This window comes from Homo sapiens, chromosome 3, assembly GCF_000001405.40.
Source record: "Homo sapiens chromosome 3, GRCh38.p14 Primary Assembly".
Classification (NCBI taxonomy): Eukaryota; Metazoa; Chordata; class Mammalia; order Primates; family Hominidae; genus Homo; species Homo sapiens.
In genome coordinates, this window is record NC_000003.12 from 79,160,635 (window position 1) to 79,182,338 (window position 21,704).

At 36.1% G+C, this 21,704-nt stretch overlaps 1 protein-coding gene across 10 annotated transcripts in view, besides 1 other annotated feature; it reads right to left on the reverse strand.

Annotated features, from left to right (window-relative positions):
* Positions 1 to 21,704, reverse strand: part of ROBO1 (roundabout guidance receptor 1) — a 1,170,760-nt gene that overhangs the window by 563,396 nt on the left and 585,660 nt on the right. The window lies entirely within an intron of this gene.
* Positions 176 to 677: an enhancer, noted in NCBI's record as "NANOG hESC enhancer chr3:79209960-79210461 (GRCh37/hg19 assembly coordinates)". NCBI's record gives its function as "activates a minimal SCP1, AML or CMV promoter by ChIP-STARR-seq in primed H9 embryonic stem cells {active_cell/tissue: H9 hESC(primed)}" and the evidence as "EXISTENCE:reporter gene assay evidence [ECO:0000049][PMID:30033119]".

The window sequence follows — 21,704 nt, forward strand, 5'->3', positions numbered from 1 at the left end:
ACATGATTGACTGGTCTAATATGTCATTCAACTAGTTGTCCAAAAAAACTGTGGTTTTATTTAGAAACCTCATGTGATCACAGTGTGGATTCACAGGATGAACAGTGAGAAACATTAAAAGAATGATCATATAGCACATGCTCCAAACAAATGGAAAAATTAAGAGCACTCAGTAACAACAAAATTTCTAAACAGCTTCTAGTTTGTAACTGGGGCTAAGCCTCACCCCCCCAACCTCAAGTAGGTAATATTAACGTTACACAAAGTCATTTTTTACTATGCACGTAAAGAGAATTAATGAAAACATACATTAAATATATTTCCCTCATGAGATAATTTTCCGAGTTTAATAATCATATGTCATTCTGATAGATATGCTTTCCTTTAAACCTCCTCATTAGAATGATAAAAAGTCAAGGTATTTTGGTAATCAAAATAGGAAAATGGCATGAAACTATAATAAAGGAAAGCCAGCTGAGGAGCCTGCTACAAAACAATACCATGTATAATTGGTACTTAATTATGCAGATTTAGCAAATGGCAGAAGGACAGTTGTATTCCTTGACCAAGGCTGCCTGCCAAGTCAAGCTGACATAAATGTAGGAAGGATCCCACTCTATGATCCTGACTGCTGCATCTCTTCTACAATGACAAAATATTTTTGAGTAAGAAAGAAATCCATGGATTTGCTTAAACAAGTCAAGTTGATGTATTTGATATAAGTGACAATTCCCAATAACATCATTAACAAAGTTTTATTAAACATATCAATTTTTTTAAATCAAGGTTTTAAGGGGACCAGAAGAAAACCAAATAATAGCCTATGCACTTGAGTAGAGGATAAGTTTACTGCATGGTTCTTTGCAAAAATAATTTCTACACATAGACGAGGGTCTTTGAAAAAAAGAAATGTCATTGAAAAAGTAAATATAAGTTGTCTTTTACTATATCCATAAGAAACAAGCTATAGAAAAAGTTGATTATTGTTGCATTTCACATTTACACCATAACTTTGTATACCTGTTAAAATAACTTAAAATGCTATTTGTAAACAAACAAGTACTTTAAAAATCATTTGTGCAGGTGCTTTATTGGCACTGCCATAGCCAGAGCTAGCCTCTAGTACCATCGCTCTCCTTCTTGACCTCTGAGTACACACTCATTGTTAGATAGAAGGACCGTCTATCCCTAGCTTGGTACCCATGGGCACTTACTGATTTCCTGAGATGGTAGAAAATACCTGGGCAGAATCCATAATTTCAAAATAATACATACCATAATTTCAAATTAATAGATTCAGCCTCTGATGAGCTGCAGTTATACATATTTTCCAATCAGTCACCATGGAGGTGACTTTAATGGAGGAAAAATAAATTTAGTTGAGTAATTTCTTTCCTTCCTCCTCTCAAGTTCATTTTTTTTTCTACTGTTTTGAATCAGGAAGAGAAGTAGCATGTGTCAGCAATGTCTTGCCAATAAAATTTATTTCTCAGTGTATGGTAATAGGCACTAGCGTCATTTCCTGCTTCTTGGACAGTAAAATTGGAAAGGAGTTCCTTGACTATTTGTCAGGGCTTGAGATGCCACACAGGATCCCAGTAAAAATGTATTTCACTAGGTCAGAGAAAATCTCTGAATAGCTTAGAAGATATAGCATCCAAAATATTGCCAAGAATTTAATAGGAGGAAAGAAGGGATAGAAACATGAGGTAGAAGTGATTTAGAATGAAACTGAAAGCTAAATTAAGGTGGAACCTACATGTGGTAAGGAAATATGGTTTGAGGGATATTTTTGCCTTTATCATTATATGTTCATATGATATTCTCTACTTTAAATAACATCATGTGAAATGGAAGAAAATACATGTGTCTTTTTTCTGGATGGGTGCTAGTTTGCATCAAACGTTAGCCAATCATCTATCAATCCAAAATCTCAGTGTTCACAGTAACTTGTTAAGGGTTTTAGATTTCTGTAATAAAATACAGCAATACTTTCAGTGGGAAAAAGTGAAAAGTTGGGCAAACTTACGTTTGCACCAACATAATACTTTATGCATTCATAATAGGATTAGCCCAGAATAGTTTTAGTATCTGTGAAACATTGTCTTACTGTAAAGCCTATTCATATTTCCATGTTATCAGGTGTACATTCTTAGCAGCAAGCATGAGATTCTGCAAAATAAAATAAGAGAAATTGGGTACTGCTCTGCATCCTGTGTACATCATGAATCACTGGTAAGAAACTGAATATGACCTCAGTTCCTGGAATGAACTAAAAAATCATATGTTTAAATTGGTAATTCCGAGCCCTTTTAAAGCATTTTTGTCTCCATTATCTTGTTTTGTGGCCTCACTTTTTAAATATTATTTTTACTATGGTAAACACACATAACATAAAATTTACCATCTTACCCATTTTTAAGCGTACAGTTCAGTGGAGTTAGATACATTCCTAATGTGCCACCATCATGATCATCCAATCCACAAAACTCTGTTCATCTTAAAGACTGAAATTCTGTACCCACTAAACAAGAACTCTCCATTGCTGCCTCCCCACAGTTCCTGGCAACCACAATTCTACTCTCTGTTTCAATGGCTTTGACTATTCTACCTACCTATCTCATGTAAGTGGAATCATACAGTATTTATCTTTGTGTGACTGGCTTATTTTTACTTAGTATAATGTTTTCAAGGTTCATCCATGTTGCAGCATGTGTCAGAATCCCCTTCCTTTTTAAGGCTGAATGATATTTCACTGTAATAAGTGCCACATTTTGCTGGTTCATTCATCTGCTGATGGACATTTGGATTGCTTCCATATTTCAGCTGTTGTGAATAACGCAGCTATGAACATGGGTGTATAAATATCTCTTTGAGATACTGCCTTCTATTCTTTTGGGTCTATACCCAAAAGTGGAATTGGTGCATCATATGGTAATTCTATTTTTAATTTTTTGTGGAACTGCCATACTGTTTTTTACAGCAGTTGTATCATTTTACATTTTGAACAGTGCACAAGGGTTCCAATTTCTCTGCATCCTTGCCAACACTTGTTTTCAGGTTTTGTTGTTGTTGTTGTTGTTTTTTATAGAAGCCATTCTGCAGCCTCAAATTTTGAGAGGCTTTTACTCATCTTGAAACAAAGAAAAGGATCCTATTTAGAAAAGTACAATCCTCACTTATTTGTGTACTTTAGACAGATAAACAAATGTCATTATAAGATGACTTCTTCCAGCATCCCCTGATTCTAAATCTTAGGAATATTGAAGGTGCGATTTTCAGATTTCCACATTTTTACAAATGGCATTAGTATGGTAATGACATTGATGATTATATTGTAAAAATGTACCAGTAAGATCTCACCCTGCAATTAAAATAATCCTTGGAAGACACTGTGTGGAATTGTTTTATAAGGGGAGATCACAGTGAAATCCTCCAAAGGTCTCATTTTGTTGTGCCAAATTTGATATTTAAAATGGTCCAAGGGTGGGGGAACTAAAACAAAGAACCAGTGAGTCCTCAACATTACACAGTGTAAATTATTAAAGAAGCAGCTAATAACATAAATGTGGTCCAATTCCTTCAACAAACTCAACAAGAGTCCCTACATAGTCTCTAATATCTGCAGACTATATCAGGCAGTGAAAAATTAGAGTACTAATATGTGGTTTCAAAAGTATATAGCACAGTTGCTTGAGAAGGAAATCTATCAGAAGGACACATATTTGTAAGACTTTTACAGCAGAGATTCATGTCATTTGACAACAGGTAACCTGTCAAATAATCATATGATGAAAATACAAAATCATATTGCACCACCTTTATAATGTAACCAGAATATAAGTACGTCTCTCCTCCTCTACCATCACTCTCATCTTGATCCAGCCCACCATCCTCATTTGCCTGCTTTATTGCAATAGCTTGAAATTATTTTCTCATTTACTCTTTTGCACCTTAGTATTCTTTTAAAATAACATCCTTAATCATTTCATTAAAATAGAATTCAGGTCCTGGTACCATTCTGTTCAAAACTGTCCAATCTCCTCTATTATGTCAGAATTAAAGAAGTAATTTTTGTAGCAGCCTACAAGGACTTTCACGGGCTGCCTATTGCCTCTCTGATCTCATTCCCGACTCCTCTCCCCTTGCTCTATCTGTTGTGGCCTAATGGTTTCTTGCTGTTTATCAAACACACTACAAGTAGTCTTAGCTAGAAGCACTTTCTCCAAATAACTGCATGGCTTATTTATTGAATCCTCTGCATTTTTCTCAAATATTACCTTGGCAAATCTGACTACTGCATTTAAAATTACAATAGATCCTGTCACACTGCACACCCCTAACCTTATCATTTTTTTTCCTGATACTTAACACATTTTAACTTGCTTTAAAATCTAGTTGGTATACTTATTGTTTATGTTACATCACTGCCAGCCTACATTACTGGAATGTAAGCGCCATAAGGTCAGGAATTCTTGATATTTGTTTACTCATCAATGCATCCTGAGAGCCTAGAATAGTGCCTGGCACACAGGAAGATGTTCAATAAATATTTATCATTCACGCTAACAGTGGAGCTCAATAACTTTATTAGAGTCAGCATGTTTTGATCAGAAGACCTTACTCTACCATAGTGTTTGTAGTAGTTCTGTACATGTAGATATCAGGCATAGATGTGGCATTATAAGTAATCAGCTGAGCACTTCAACATTATTTTCCTATGAGACATTTTGCAAGGTTGAGTTCTTTCAGCATTAGAATAATTTACCTGTTTGAGATTCTTAGGAATGTGCTGAGTGAACTCAGTATCCCCTCCAAGAGACTTTTCCATTATTTGTCAGAAGGAGATTGTCTACAAAGTCTTTTGGAAAAAAGCTGATTCGAAGATCAGAAATCAGTGTCAAAACGTCTGTACTATTTTCCAATAATGGGGAGCAATGGGTTCCCTAAGGATTTCCACAAATTTTAAAGCCTGAAAGAACGGAATTTCCCCTGGATTTATAAACTGCAAAAATTCAAGTTTTACCCTAAAGAAATAGCCTACAGAATTTGGGTATCTATAATGGCACGATGTGCACCAGACCAGATACACATATCACATAATCTATCGTGATGGTTCTTTTGATATGTCAGCTTGGATAGGCTTCAATCCCCAGATAGCCAACCCAATACTAATCTGGGAGTTGCTGGGAAGATATTTTATTGATGTGATTAAGTCCATAATCAATTGACTTTAATTAAGTGGAATTGTCCCGGATAATGTGAGTGGGCCTGATTCAATCAGTTGAAAGACCTTAAAAATAGGTCTGAAGCTTCCCTGATGGAAGAATAAATTCCACCTGTGGAGAGCAACTTCAGCCCATGCAGGAGAGTTCCACTCTACCCTTCCTGATGGCCTGTCCTACAGATTACAGACTTGCCTAGCCACCCCCAACAATAGCGCAAACCAACTCATTGCAATAGGTCTCTACTATTGCAATGTGTCTTCTACTGGTTCTCTCTCTTTGACTGAACCCTGACTAATACAGTTATTAATGCCCCAAAGTAATGTAAGACTTGATGAAGATCATAAAGGCACAGAAAATTACATACTTAATCTAATGCCTATAGCCAATTCACTTCTGTTAGAAAAAAATAGAAATTGGAGAATCTTTACAAACTTGCCCTTGACTAAATTTTGGACAGCTGTATTATTTATGATGGTTATGATGGTACTGCAGATACTGAATATTCATTACTCATCTTATACCTTCAATTGGATTTTTTATTCTTGTAGAATTATCTCCTGCACTTAAGAAATCCTCTTTTTAGAAATAATTTAGAGACAAATACATTATATATATTTCAATTATGTGATCAACAACTTTCATAAAATCTTCCCACTAGAATGTAAGTTGCAGGATGGAAGGCAAGTTTTCTATTTTTCTTTTTTTTTTTTTTTTTATTTTTGAGATGGAGTCTAGCTCTGTCGCACAGGCTGGAGTGCAGTGGTGCAATCTCGGCTCACTGCAAGCTCCGCCTCCCGGGTTCGCGCCATTCTCCTGCCTCAGCCTCCCGACCAGCTGGGTCTATAGGCGCCCGCCACCACGCCTGGCTAATTTTTTTTGTATTTTTAGTAGAGACGGGGTTTCACCAAGTTAGCCAGGATGGTCTCGATCTCCTGACCTCGTTGATCCGCTATTTTTCTTAATTTGTTCACTAATGTATTATCAGTGCCTAAATCAGTAAAGGATTCATAATATTTGTTGAATTAATGAATCACTTAACAGTTTTATGGATAGAGGAATAATATTCCAAAGACATCTTCTTAGGCTTCTGAATTAATGCTACTGCTATTCACTATGCCTGAGGCGATGTGCACATATCCACGTGTCTCCAATGTTAAGAACAAAGACTGTCAGAATTCTGGCTACTCAATTTCAAATCATGTCCTAATCATGTTTCCTAAAAGACACAACCAGTGCCAAACACTTCATTTTTCCCAGGTCAAGATACTGCTGATAATATTGATTATAAAATTGAAGAAAGGTCTTTTAGGTTTGAAAATTAATAGCACAAAAGCATTTCCTAATTCATCCAGAGCATCTAAACTCACGCTAGTAAATTTTCTTGCAGTTAAAATTTTTGTGTTTTTTTGTTTACTCTTCACTATTTTTGTTTGCTTGTGCCAACAAAATTCCAGAAGTTGCAAGGCAGCAATTTCTTCCTTAGCAAGAGGAACACAGAGAATTTAGCCTTCTGTTCTAGTAAAACTTCTTTGTGTACATCCACATTGTATTTTTGTCATGAAATCAATGTCACTGTTCCTTTCTTCTAAATTCCTATAACTTATATCTTTATAACACCTGTAATGACTGTCATCATTTTGGGGCTACTGTCTTCATATAAATGATAAAACTATGCAATTGCCTTCTAAGAGGGCACTTTCCTTTTTATCTGTCCCAACTAGTTACTTCCCTTCACACCACTGCTTTATCAATTAAAAAGAAAAGCAAAAATAAAAACAAAAATATCCTCTCTTCATCTCACATCTTTGTTCCAGATCTTACAATGACTAGTAATCTTTCTGCTAATCCAATCTGAGCATTCTGCCTTGGTAATTAAGATGTTTGAAGAACTTGGGATCAGAAGTCAGAATACTTGGGTTTGAATTTTTGGTTTTGAGGTTTATTATCTGCATGACTCAGGCAAGTTATTTGAATGCATTGTACTTAATCATCCTCATCTGTAAAATGGAGATACAAATAGCATCCATTTCATGAGAGAGGTTAGGAGGATTGAGGCAGTTAATATATGCATGGGAAGAATTTAGAATGGTCACTGTCAGATGATAACTACAGACTTTTAGCTATCATCATCATCAGTATTAAAATAATTATTTTTAACTTGTACCACATGTTGGTCAAGCATTATTTGCTATTTTGGGGAATGTATACTTTAATATAGATTCAGGCAATCTGCACAGCCAGGAACGGAAAGAAACTGGACTTAACAGTATTCTTTAGATTTGCTGGCACAACCCTATCGGCCTGTGTGTGATTTGGCTAATTGCGTATTCGGAGAAGAGCCAACAGTGACAGTTTACCCAATGAGAGGAAACATTCAGCTTTAGTCATCGCCCTGCTAAAAGAAATACTTTGATGCTGAGTCAGGAACTTTGGCTTTATTTAAATAAATACTGTTTCTTCCAGGGAGATTTTTTTTTTCCAGAAATCCTTAAGAGAGTTTTTCTTTTTAAAAAAATCAGTGATGAAAATATCATAATTCAAAGCTAAAGTTGGCAGAAACTCCTTGGCTTTCTGAAAATGACCTTTGACCCAACATGGTAAAATGCATACCCATTTTATCTTTCTTCCACTAAACCCTAATATCACCACTCTGGCTAGTTCATTTTACTGTTTCCAAACTCTCCTAGTATAATGTTTGCCCCTACTATTTTGCTTATATTGCTTTTTCCTTTGTAGAAGTCTCTCTCTAATGTTTGGAGGTTAAAGTCATGTTTTCTGTGTCCCAAACTCTTCAATATCTCTAGTCACTTCAACGTTTCCATTTATTTACTTAGTTAGGCAACATTGACTCCATGCCCCCTGTATTTCAGGCACTGTTTTAGGAGCTTAAAATACAGGAGTAGATAATATATCAAGGGTTCCGGTCCTCAGAGGAGCTTGCATTAAAGTGAGGAAAATGCATCACTATTATTTATACAAATAATTAATTATAGATGTTATGAAAGAATGCTAGAACATTGAAATAGACTGTTGCTAGGAAAATCCTAAATGAGAAAGTGACATTTAAAGTTGAAAACTTGAAGAATTAAGATGAATTATTTGAGCAAAATTCTAAAGATAAAGGGGAAAGAGAATGTTTGCAGCAATGAAAAGAATGATTTATGTAGAAGCAACAAGTTTTGAAGACCATAAGATGGGAAGAATAATGGAACTATTAAAGAACTGAAAGAAATCCAGTGTAGCTACAGCTTAGATAACCAAAGAATAGCAAGGCTATGAAAGTGGACTATTGATGACTGGGATCTCTTCAAGAGTACATATTAGTGCACATTTGGATTCAAGATCTTGACATATAATAGTAGTACATATTCATTTTATTATGTTATAATCTACATTAATTTTATATTCCTCCAAACAGTTAATGCAGATTCCATACAAAGGCTTTAAGATGGAAGCACAGATTTCTTGTCGTTTTTTTCTTTTGCTTGCCGCACAGGCATATCATAGCCAATAAATAATTACTTGTTGAGATTATTCTATAGGATTCCACTTTATCCTATTCAGCCTTGCTTGTTTTGTCTGTAGAAATGCACACACACACACACGTTTCTTAATATTACAAGGGCAGAAGAATTTTCAAATGAAATCCAGATAGCTGAGTAATTACTTGGACTACTTGATTTTAATCAATGTAAAATATAGTAATATTCCATGACTGAAGATTATTGTTGAAACCTGAAATAAAATCCTCTGATGTAGGCATTATAATAAGATCCCTTAGGGTGGTTAAATTGTGTAAGTACTTAACGATAAAATAAAACCACATAATAAAAATGGTTCAGCTTTGGTGTTACCATTTTAGGATCACAGCTGTTATAAGTGACTGGTGAAAAATAAATAACCTATGCCCATTTTGTTATCTCAATTCAAAATTTCACAAGTTTAGGTCTTAATACCAAAAGCATAATAAAAGGAATGCTCTCAATTTATGGACATGGAGTATATAAAAATAAGAATAGGGCCTACAAAACTCTTAACTTAAAGAGGTAAATTTTATAAACATTTGAACATTGAAATTATTCAGAGCTTTGAAGTACAAAAATGTAAATACATGTTTAGGTTAAAAATCCTAAAATGTAAACGTTTATAGTCAAAGAGAGAGAGCGAGAGAGAGAAAACACACTCTTGGTCTTTAACAACAAAGGAAACAATAAGTGCAAGGCCTGGGTCTTAGCTATCTGCATATCCTAGTGTAGGGCTCTTTCATGAAATATTCTCACTAGATTAGAGCTCAGGGCCATTGTGCCAATCAAGAGTAAAGGGGCAAATGGAACCTTCAAGCTTTCATCCCAGGGCCTCATTTACCTACTAATTACTGATGAAATCATTATAAGGACTCCATCAGTTAACACACCACTCATTTCTGTTAACACATGAATGCTGTCAGAGGCCATGGTGTGCTACTTAGGTTGCTATTTATCAGAAAATTTAAATGTGTTTCCAGTTCAGTTAACAATCAAAGGTCACTCTTCTTAAATTAGTCCAAGTAAAGTAAAGCAAACATACCAACATAATCCACCAATCTGTTCCATTACCTAGATATCTAAGAATTTTAAAATATTTTGCATTTAAGATAGGAAAATATGTGAAATGTTCAAATAGCCTTGCCCCTAAATTTAAAATTATTATCTTCTTTGTACATGAAACTCAATTTCCTTTCCTTGTCTAAACTAAGGCAATACAAATTTTTGTAAATTTGCTGTAAATCTATTTTAGAGGTAAAAAATGTTGCCTCACACATATATTTGGTTACAGATGTTATTATTACCAGTGAATTAGACAAGTTATTTTTTTTTCTCTTAGGAATTTAAATACATGTTAAATAAGCCTGCCAGTAAATGGTCAAAGAAGGCTAAGGGATAAATCAGTTAGGAGGTGAACAGAGTTGACTCTTCATCAACTTTATTTGCATGTTGAATACTTGCATCAATCTGAAGTAATTTATTTTTCATACTTGTGTTCATTTCTTTTTAACAGAGTAATTTACTTTATATATACCTTTCCTTCATTCAGAAATGAAGAAAATATCACGTAGCCATGTGCTGGATTCAGATGTACTAGTTCAAAAGAGCCAACTGATAGATTTTTCAGGGATATTTTGAGTTAGTTCTTAAATTCGTTGAAGTTACTTTATATAATAATGACTTTCTATAAAATTATTATTTTATATAATTTCATTCACAATAATGAATTTACTTAAATTCATTATTTAAATAATATAAATGTATAATTAAATATCTTATGTTAAAAACAAAGCTTATAAATTAATAATTACACATATTATGTTAAAAAAGCTTATGAAAGTAACAATTTTGTAATTGTTTTACTTCATCGTTAGTATCATCTATGTCCTTGATATTGTTTTAGTATATTTTATTCATGTGCTAGAAACACTATGCAGGAGTGTGCTGCCAAGCATCTCTTCTCAACTTGACATTTGATGATGTCACATTAGTAGCCATGGTGCAAGTATATATGCCATGAAAATTGCAAAAAAAAAAAAAAAAAAGCCATAACAAAATCTGGGCTTAATTTTTTCTTTTGTTGATATTCTAGATTTAAGAAAGTGATGAAGAAAATATTTATAAAACAGATTAAACTTAAAATTGTGTTGCATCAGTACAGATTACATTGTAAACAGCACACACATACATAAAGGGATAAAATATTCTTCCTTAAACAACTATTAACCATTTAAATAAACAAGTCATTCACGTGATTGAAAAACAAGTGAAGTTCTGGCATATATCTTTAGTTGTACACTTTTGTCTTACTTGTTACATAAAAAAAATCAACTAACTTTCATGTTAAAACTGGAAATACCTTCATAGGGTGGTTATGGATACAAAAGTCAGGAAAAATTAACAAAAATATTCTCTGAAAGTCAATTGACTATATGAAATCTATAATAAAATTATGATATGTAACATTATTACTTATAAGTTATGTTGTACACATCTTCATATCAGTATTATACTAAACACACACAAACAGCTTTCCTTTGGAGAGTCCATTATCAAAACATTTACAACCATAAAACTGATTATATGAATATATAAAATATAACACTACAATATATAAATTTAAAGTATGTGATAAAGTAAAACAAAAGTAGAGGCATAAAAATCAAGCCAAAAGGGAGACTTCAACAATAACAAGAACAACAGCAAAAATGATCAAAACCTATTAAATTTCTATAGGTACCTCAATTTGCTCTAAGCCTCCCTCTAATCACTTTGATGAATAAGATCCTGTGGTCTACTCATTCAAAATATTTATCAGATGAAAGCATTTCAGTTACTTAGGAGAAACTATTTTTGATTCTAAATGTGTTTTAGCCAGTTGGGTCAAATTCCTATCATTGCAGGTTATTATGAGTGACTATAAATGCATACAAACAAATACATTGAAAAATATTTCCTTCTATCTCTAAAAGTAAAACATTTTTATTGTATTAACTAAATCTCTAAAAATTTTTGTCTCAATTTTCTGTACTTCATCATCCCCTTGGGAGAATTCCTGGAAAGTTGCTCTTCCTGGATTGCCCGTGTAAGGAAGAGCACACTTCACAGGGACAGTTGATTTCAAAGTCCTTCAAAGATGGATTATCACAGATTGTCTTCAGCTTTGTTAATTTGGAACAATCCTAGAAACTTTACATAAAGTTGTATTAAAATTAAAGTACAAACTACATTTTTTTTCCAATTATATGTGTGTATACCATTATTTTCAATTTTTTTTTTTTGGATCCTGAATTATCTTTCCAACTATTCCCTTCTACTGTGTCTACCCTGAGCACTGCATTATTGACTAAACTGAAATGCTCACCAGTTCTAGGATATGTCATACATTTAAGCACATTTTATTTTGCTTACGACATTTGTTCTTTTAGTTTAGAATACCTTTATACCCTTATCTGTGATCAAGGAATTTCTGTTTACATTTAATACTTAGGGTTAAGTGCTAACTCTTGATCCTCCCAGGAAAAGTTAATACCATTTTCTTCTCTGCTCCTAGAAGATACTTCTTATATATCTATTTTTAAGCATCTTTTAAACTCAGTATTTCAGTTGTGTTCATATCTGCCTCTATAACACTGAAGGCTCTTTAAGTTGAGGTCTAGGTCTTTGTCTCAACCAATGAGAGTAACAGAAGTGCTTTACATGGGTTCAATGGTCACAAATAAATACCAGTCCACATCAATGCACAGTGATGAATGGAGACAATCACTACTGAGAGGTGACAGCGTGCTGGCAGCCCTCACAGCCCTCACTCGCTCTCGGTGCCTCCTCTACCTGGGCTCCCACTTTGGTGGCACTTGAGGAGCCCTTCAGCCCACCGCTGCACTGTGGGAGCCCCTTCCTGGGCTGACCGAGGCTGGAGCCAGCTCCCTCAGCTTGCGGGGAGGTGTGGAGGGAGAGGCGCGAGTGGGAACCAGGGCTGCGCGCGGTGCTTGCAGGCCAGCGCGAGTTCCAGGTGGGTGTGGGCTCGGCGGGCCCGCACTCCGAGCAGCTGGCCAGCCCTGCCTCCCTGGGCAATGAGGAGCTTAGCACCCAGGCCAGTGGCTGCAGAGGGTGTGCTGGGGCCCCCAGCAGTGCCGGCCCACCGGGTTCTCACTGGGCCTTATCTGCCTTCCCACAGGGCAGGGCTGGGGACCTGCAGCCCGCCATGCCTGAGCCTCCCCCACTCCATGGGCTCCGGCTCAGCCCGAGCCTCCCGGATGAGCACGGCCCCCTGCTCCACGGTGCCCAGTCCCACCGACCACCCAAGGGCTGAGGAGTGCGGGCACAGGGTGCAGGACCGGCAGGCAGCTCCACCTGTGGCCCCAGTGCGGGATCCACTGGGTAAAGTCAGCTGGGCTCCTGAGTCTGGTGGAGACTTGGAGAACCTTTACGTCTAGCCAAGGGATTGTAAATACACCAATCGGCACTCTGTATCTAGCTCAAGGTTTGTAAACACACCAATCAGCACCCTGTGTCTAGCTCAGGGTTTGTGAATGCACCAATTGACACTCTGTATCTAGCTACTCTGGTGGGGACTTGGAGAACCTTTGTGTCTGGCTCAGGGATTGCAAACGCACCAATCAGTGCCCTGTCAAAACAGACCACTTGGCTGTCTGTAAAATGGACCAATCAGCAGGATGTGGGTGGTGCCAGATAAGAGAATAAAAGTAGGCTGCCTGAGCCAGCAGTGGCAACCTGCTCAGGTCCCCTTCCACACTGTGGAAGCTTTGTTCTTTCGCTCTTTGCAATAAATCTTGCTGCTGCTCACTCTTTGGGTCCACACTGCCTTTATAAGCTGTAACACTCACTGCGAAGGTCTGCAGCTTCACTCCTGAAGCCAGCGAGCCCACGAGCCCACTGAGACGAAGGAACAACTCCAGACGTGCCGCCTTAAGAGCTGTAACACTCACCGCAAAGGTCCGCAGCTTTACTCCTGAGCCAGCGAAACCACGAACCCACCACAAGGAAGAAACTCCGAACACATCCGAACATTGGAAAGAACAAACTCCGGACATGCGGCCTTTAAGAACTGTAACACTCACCGCGAGGGTCTGCAGCGTCATTCTTGAAGTCAGTGAGACCAAGAACCCACCAATTCCGGACACATTACCTTTAAAATAGCTTAGAATTTTACTTCATAGTCCGTAATTGTCAACTATAATAGTATAGACAAATAGGAACACGTGGGTTCATTTTCCTCACAGTGATAGCAAACGGTGAATACATTTGCTAATAATCAGCTATAAGAAACCTTACTGAAACCCCGTCTCTACTAAAAATACAAAAAAAAAAACTGGTCGGTCATGTGTGGTCGCAGCTACTCAAGAGGCTGAGGTAGGAGAATGGTGGCAACCTGGGAGGCGGAGCTTGCAGTGAATGGAGATTGCGCCACTGCACTTCAGTCTGGGGGAGGGAGCAAGACTCCGCCTCAAAAAAAAAAAAAAAGAAACCTTACCAATTTAGAAAAATCCTAAGTTTTATGCAGAATTTTTTAATTGATGATTTTAAGGTAAAGCTTTGGATAAGGGCTAGATATTAATAATCAAATGATAAAACCAAGGTAGAAAAAAGTTATTTTTTAGAAAAAATGTCAGGAAAAACTAAATGCCAGTTAGATTTTGGCATTTAACTATACTGTTAATATTTATTTTTCATTTTAAATTGAAAATGTTTTTTCAGGTAATAGTAATTTACCATTAGCTGGATAGTTTATTTTAGGGTTCTCTCCTATCCCTAGTAGAAACCCCAATGGGCTTAAACATCTTTACTTCTCAAACTTATAATAAAATTAGTATAGCATTTATTGATAATTTTTATACCCAGTTGCACTTATTTTACTTTAATTCAGTTAGCACCTATTTGCAGTAATCCTCAGTTACTTTTACTTTATTTTATTTTTTAATAGAAATGGGGTCTTACTGTGTTTCCCAGGCTGGTCTGGGACTTCTGGGTTCAAGCAATCCTCCTGCCTTGGCCTCCCCAAATACTGGGATTATAGGCATGAGCCACTCTGCCTGGCCCCACCCTGCATAAATCATAATTTATCTACTTGGATCAAATTAACCTTAGCAGTATTATTGTTCTTCCTTCCTAACACTGGAAAACTTTCCTTGAGTTTATCTAGGCCACATTGTCCACAAACATAAGCTAAATAGCGCCTAAGATACTTGCTTATTACAATTCTTACTGTAATACTCAGAAAAAATTATCCTACAATAAATGCAACAGAAATTGTGGCTTTTGTCTTTCTTCCAGGTGACTGCATATATTCTTCTAAGACACACACTTCATATTTGGCCATGTGACATATTTGGCCATGTGGCTGAATAATTTTCAGCCACAATGATTAATTTCACTAACTTTATAAACATTATTGGCACGTGGTTCTTATTTGACCCACTCTTATTTGCCTTTCCAAACAACAGATGAAATGTTACAATGCTATATACATGTTGTATGAATTGTATAACTGAGAAAAATAAAAATTACAATTTTCCAAAATAATAAACAAAGGAAGTTCTGGCAATGTTCTGGTTATCTTCTACTTTCCCTTCCTCCACTTTCATACTCAACCCCTTGAAGGTTACGCTGATCAACTGGCTACCCTGGGGGTGGGGCCAATCTGGTTTATATCTAAAGAACAGTGAAAAAAGGGAACTGAGCCAGATCCCTAAGCCCAAGGGACTTCTGGCTGCCTGAAGTCTTCCAGGCTATGGAGTGTCAAAAAAGTTTCTGAAATGCAAGAGTGTGTTCAAAGGACACACTTTTACAAGGCACACACATATTTTGCATTAGTGTTCCCTGATGTGTATTTGTCACTGCTTATATCTAAAGGTAAAGCTTCAGAAGATGTCTTCTCTCTCTGCTTAATGTCATGACTTAAAAGAAAAATTATCCATTTTGTTCAGCTTTCTAAATAATATTAAGAAACAGCTAGTGTATCATATTTTGTCATCAAAATCATCCAAATTAGTGATTCCTTACAATTATTTATTTAAAATAATTTGTAGGCTTGTATATATCTGAAGATTATTATTACTATTATTATTTGAGATGGAATCTCTCTCTGTCACCCAGGCTGGGGTGCAGTGGCATGATCTCAGCTCACTGCAGCCTCTGCTTCCTGGGTTCAAGTGATTCTCTTGTCTTAGCCTCCCAAGTAGCTGGGACTACAGGCAAGTGCCATTACATCTGGCTAATTTTTCTATTTTTAGTAGTGTTGAAATTTCACCATTTTAGCCAGGCTGGTCTCAAACTCCTGACCTCAAGTGATCTGCCCCCAGCTCGGCCCCCCAAAGGGCTGGGGTTAGAGGTGTGAGCTGCCGCGCCTAGCCTGAAGATTATTATTTTAACCAGTATTATCTTCCTCCCTATTCAGAATGCTACAATATATGTTTTAAGATTCACCTAAAAATGGTATTATATTGTCAATGGATAGAATATGAAGTCTTATTATTAAATGTAAACCTCATATTCTACAAAATATATTAGCTCATAGTGCCAGTTATTACCTGTCTAATTAGATAATACATAGTAAGTGTCTCTGTCTCAATACAAAATAACGGCAAGACAATCTATATTCTTGAAGACAATGTAGCAGATAATTTGGAAAAGTTTGAATGAGATATTTTATAGAATTCTGATTTTCCTCAGAAATAATTAGCTCTAAAAAATTTCAGTACTTTTTTTAAAATTTTTCATTTCTTGATTGCTATCCTAGCCACTCCTAGCATCTCTAGGCAGGGCACTGAACTGAAAGGGAAACTTAGATTCTTCTTTCAAACCAGCAGAATAATAAACTTACGTTTCAAAGACAGTGCAAATACAGGGTTGTGTCCACTATGAAATTGTTGAACTTGGTACTTCTATTGATCTTTATTAGTTGCTACCATTTTGGAGTCAGAATTCTCAGTGCTTTGCCAACAAGTGCATTGCCTCAGATGGAGTGCTGTTCCAGCACAGACCAGACCCCTTTCTAGTAACCTTCTCCTCCCTACAAGGTCAAGGGGCTAGGGATATATAGGATGGGCGGACCCTCCTACCCCAACCTTTCCCCTGCCACCCTTCACTTCTGTCACTCATGGGTCCCAATCCACTCCTCCCCCACTTTAAAAGGCTACAGAGAATGATTTCCTCTCATGGACTGAAGGACAACATTACAGAGCTATCTTATCTTACACTCAGAAGAAATCTAAGCCATTTGAGGAAGTTAAGAATGGCTTTGATTACTGAAGCTATTTCTTTCCCATAAATTGAACATGGCATAAGAGCATTCTTGAACTTGCTCAGAGAATCTGCCCTCACCTTTGCCCTTCTTGGTTTTCTAGAAAGGATTACTGGCTTCTGCTGCCTAGGGTCCTCCCTGAATTACCTTTTTAATCATTACAACTTGATGCTTATTCTTAAAGGTTATATATAAACATAAAAACTCTATTTTACTTTAGTTCTGAACTCACTTATAATTTAAGAAATTATATCTTCAATTTCCTTTTCAGAATTAAGATTCTTTTTGAGAAACATTTGTCTTACTGTGTACAAGATCATGTGGCCAATTAACAAGCTCTCTTTTACCTGCAAAGGTGAGAAACATTTTAAAGTAGAAAAATAAATCATTACTAAAAATTGCAATGGAAGTTATTAGCTTTTACCTCGATTTTTGACAATTTGACTTTAGTTGCCTGCTCATATGTATATCTATCTATCTAAAGAAAAACATTGGCTGGTAAAAGATGCTTACTCAATAACACTGTACATGTTTTGTTCCTTTTTCAAGAGTTCCTATTTGTTTATTTAGAATATGAAAATGTAATGAACAAAACTAGTGTTGAGAGTAATCCATTTTAGAGAATCTGAAGTATGTTTGAAAAATAGCAGTAAATGAAGAAATTATTAGGAATTTATTCTGTAAAAGCCTTATAAGAAATTAATTGTATACGTTTCTACAAATTCTCCCAATGTGCATAAACATCCGCATAAGGAAATAGGAATTAGTACCCTGGGCTCTTTTTCCTCATTTGATTAACATGCTTATTTTAGGGAAAAATAAAAAAAACACACACTGGTGAAAGATATGGCTTTTGAATGAAACAGAGGGGAAAAGAAACCCACAGTGTCACAGATGGCTGTCAGAATAAAATGAAGCATGAGTCTGCTGAGAAAATCAAGCATCAGTGTGAAATCCGAACAGAAAGGCACGGAGCAGAAGGCAACATTTCAAAAGGCATTTGGCGCCAAGTGGCATTGTGAGGGTTAATTTACTGCCAGGAGCTGCTGGGCCTTTCATTCTCCAAAGACACACAATAGACAGATCCCCAAAGTGCCCATCATAATCACAGATGCTGGGGGATTAATGCTAAGATGAAAGCTTCATGAATATTAAAAATATCAAAACTGATAATGATGTAGCAGAGTTTGAAATAACGTTCAATCTCAAAATCTAAGACTATGGCATGCAGGCATAGTAAGACACTGTCTTTTAAAAACTGATTAAAACCTACTCAGTTTGTAACAGAAAGAAGCTTATGCATATTAGGACCTGAATTGGCTGCCAAACTTTACAAATTGCACAGACTAATTACCATAATTAAGCCTTGGATTGAAGAAGAAAATTCCATTTATCTCAGCCTGACTCAGTGGAACTTCAACAAAGAAAACACTGACATCAGATGGGCTTTTCCCTCAAACGATGTTTCAAAGACCACTAAAAATAAACAAACAAACAAAAGAGGCCCCATCCTCTTAGAAGCAGGAATAGTAACCATTCAGTTTAAAATGGAGTTGAAGGAAAGAATTGTTCAATGTTACAGATACTAGTTTAGGTCAATTTAGTCTACTGCACATGAGAAGCTCCATTTAAAAATAAAAGGAATTCCTTAATTAAAAAATCTGAATTATAAATATTTAGCTAAGAGAATTGACAAAAACTGAGTGGATTTCAATTTATTTAATTGACTTAATAAATAGTTCTGTGATTTAACTGTGATTTAGAACTTAGTTGGCTTACTTTCCGGTAAGGATGAAGTTAGAATAACTTGCTAAATATCTTAACTGCCTCCTATTGCAGACATCAGTAATAACAGAAGTAAACCAGGTTAGATCACATTTTGTTTATTTTTAGACTTTCTTAAAACATTTATAAAAAGCCATGTCAGTGAATATAATGGGTATTTTCATGTGTTGACTAGCCTGAATTCAGTTAGTTTGTTAGTGAATCAGTGAACTTTGGGGAAAAAAATTATAATCATGAAAGCTGAGTAATAAAGTTGCTAGAATAATGAATACTTTTGAAGCTTGTTTCAGACACTGAATACCCAGAATAAAGGATTTAAAACAATTACATCTGATTATGGGAAACATTAAGAGTAAACTAATTTTTAATCAGTGTTGAACATTTGGTTTATATTTTGAAATGAGTTGATCTTGAATTGGAGTAAAGCATTTGCACCGTTAGTTTACAATAGTTGCTTGCAGAGATTGTAAAACTGGCCATATGTTGATTTTATTGGTTGACATGTGGAAATGTTTTTGGTGTGCTTTCTCCTATATTTTAATAGTTTTAAAAATTCTGGTAACCACAGTTTTAACTTGTCCCCTTTCTTTTATCCAATAGTATCTTCTAATCTCAATTTACCCACTGCCTTGAGTCGTGACTTCTAGTAACCTGTTCTTCAGAGTTATTTAAGATACAAATATGATCACACTGTTTATCTTCCCTTCCTCAATGATCAGTCTTTAGGATGAAGCCCAAATTCCTTAGCACAGCATACAAGGTCGTTGTATCTGGCCATAGTCTACTCCTCATTCTTCATTTCTTGTTAACTCTTTCTCATTTATTAATTTATTTCCCAAAATTAATTTATATTTCCTGAAGTTTTGAAGACCTTTATTTCAGGCACTGCCATAGCCACTGGGGATAAATACTAACAAAACAAATATGACTCCCTGCCTCAATGAAGATTATAGTTAGGGGAAGGAGAAATAAATTTTTTAAAAATCTGTCTCTTTCTCCTTTCTCTCCCCCACCACCAAAGACATGTGCATAGGCATATGTACTTTTCCACTTTCCAACTGCCAATCGAGGTGATAGAGCACAGTGGCTAAGGACATAAACTCTGAAGCCTTGTTCAAATCTTGGCTCCACTGCTTAATGACATTGACCTTGGGCAAATTACCCCACCATACCTATATACCATTTCTCAAGGGTTGTTGTGAGGATTAAATAAGCAAGTACATTTAACTACCTGAAATGGCCTGGCACATAGTAATAAAAGCCATTATGATTATAAGTGTAGACAATGCTATAAAGGAAAAAAGTCAGTGTTATGATGGGTCATGACTGGGTGATGGGCCCTAAGTTGGTCTGAGGAGTCAACAACAGCTTCTCCAGGGAAGTAACTATGGCCTGATTTCAGAAGGATGTGCAGTTGGAGGGGGTGGGAGTGGATGAGGATCAGTGATTTCCATTCAGAACGCACTTTCCTGAGAACATCTTGAAGGAGCCAACATCCCGGGGTGTCCTATGGTCTGAAAGAAGGCTGGTGAGATTGTAGCACAGAAGCAAGTGTGTTAAATTGAGACCGCCACTTTAATTTATATTTGTGAAAGTGCTGTATTTCCTCTTATTTCTAATTTTCCTAGACTTTCTCTTTCCAAGCCATCTGTCTCTCATAGTCTTCTCCTATCCCTACTTGTTGTCCAGAATATAAATATGTTTAGCATCTCCTTCAGGGAACCCACGGACTGCACTATCCTCACACCCTCTCTTCTCTCTGTTCTAGACTGGGCACTTTCACTCTGTGTGAACCCACATCAGATCATTTATTTCTCTGCATTTTCCTCATGTACTACTAGATGGTAAGCTACCTAATCACAGAGCTTTTGCATTATTTAGCTTTGAATTGTTACTGGCCTGGCATATAACATGTACTAAGGTATAAAGGTTTGCCAACTCAGTGAATTAAAATATGCACCCTCAGTGCATACCCTAAACTTTGAGACTTGTACAGTCTATATATCATATTGAACTTAGATGCTCACAAATTCAAAGTGGGAGGCATCAAAACTTACTTATCCTGTGAAATCTAGGATTTCTCTGGTGTGTAGTGTTGACGTTCATTTTAAACTCTTACACTAACTCTTTTATTTTTAAATGCAAGACAGAGTTGACAATCCTATTGTAAATTATTTTTAGTGAGGAATATGATAATTGTAATATTTTACCTTAATGTAAGAAATTTTCATCAGATTCATATTTCATCTCTTATTATCACTCAGCCTACCTAGACAAACACAGATTTAAATAAAGATTTAAGAGACATAGGGAGACCCCATCTCTACTAAAACATTTGAAAAATTAGCCAGGCATACTGGTGGTGACAGTAGTCCCAGCTACTTGGGAGGCTGAGATGGAAGGATTGTTTGTGCCTGGGAGGTGGAGGCTGCACTGAGATGTTGTCATGCCAATGCATTCCAATCTGGGAGAAAGAGCGAGATCTTGTGCCAAAAAAAAAAAAAAAAAAATTAAGAAAATGGATTTTATTCACATATATATTATATATATTTTATTCACTTTTATATATATTTATAATGTGGTATTGGAAATCAAGGTCAGTTGTATAATTTCTTCCTGTATGCTAGGATATATTAATTTTTTGTTTGTATTTATCTTTGCTTTTTCCTTCTTCCATGTGGACTTAAAATTATTAAGTCGCAGTTGATATTCACTATTTTCATATGATGCAACAATAAATTTGCGAACCTAGAATTGTAGACAAATTGCTCTTTAGCATCTATAGCTCTGTCCTTTCCTTCACTTTCCTCCCATCTTTTCTTCTCTTTAGTGTCAAATGCATTTTGGGTGGAGACAGATTCCACAGCTGATTGCCACTGACTGACTGCCAAGCTCCAGAAACTA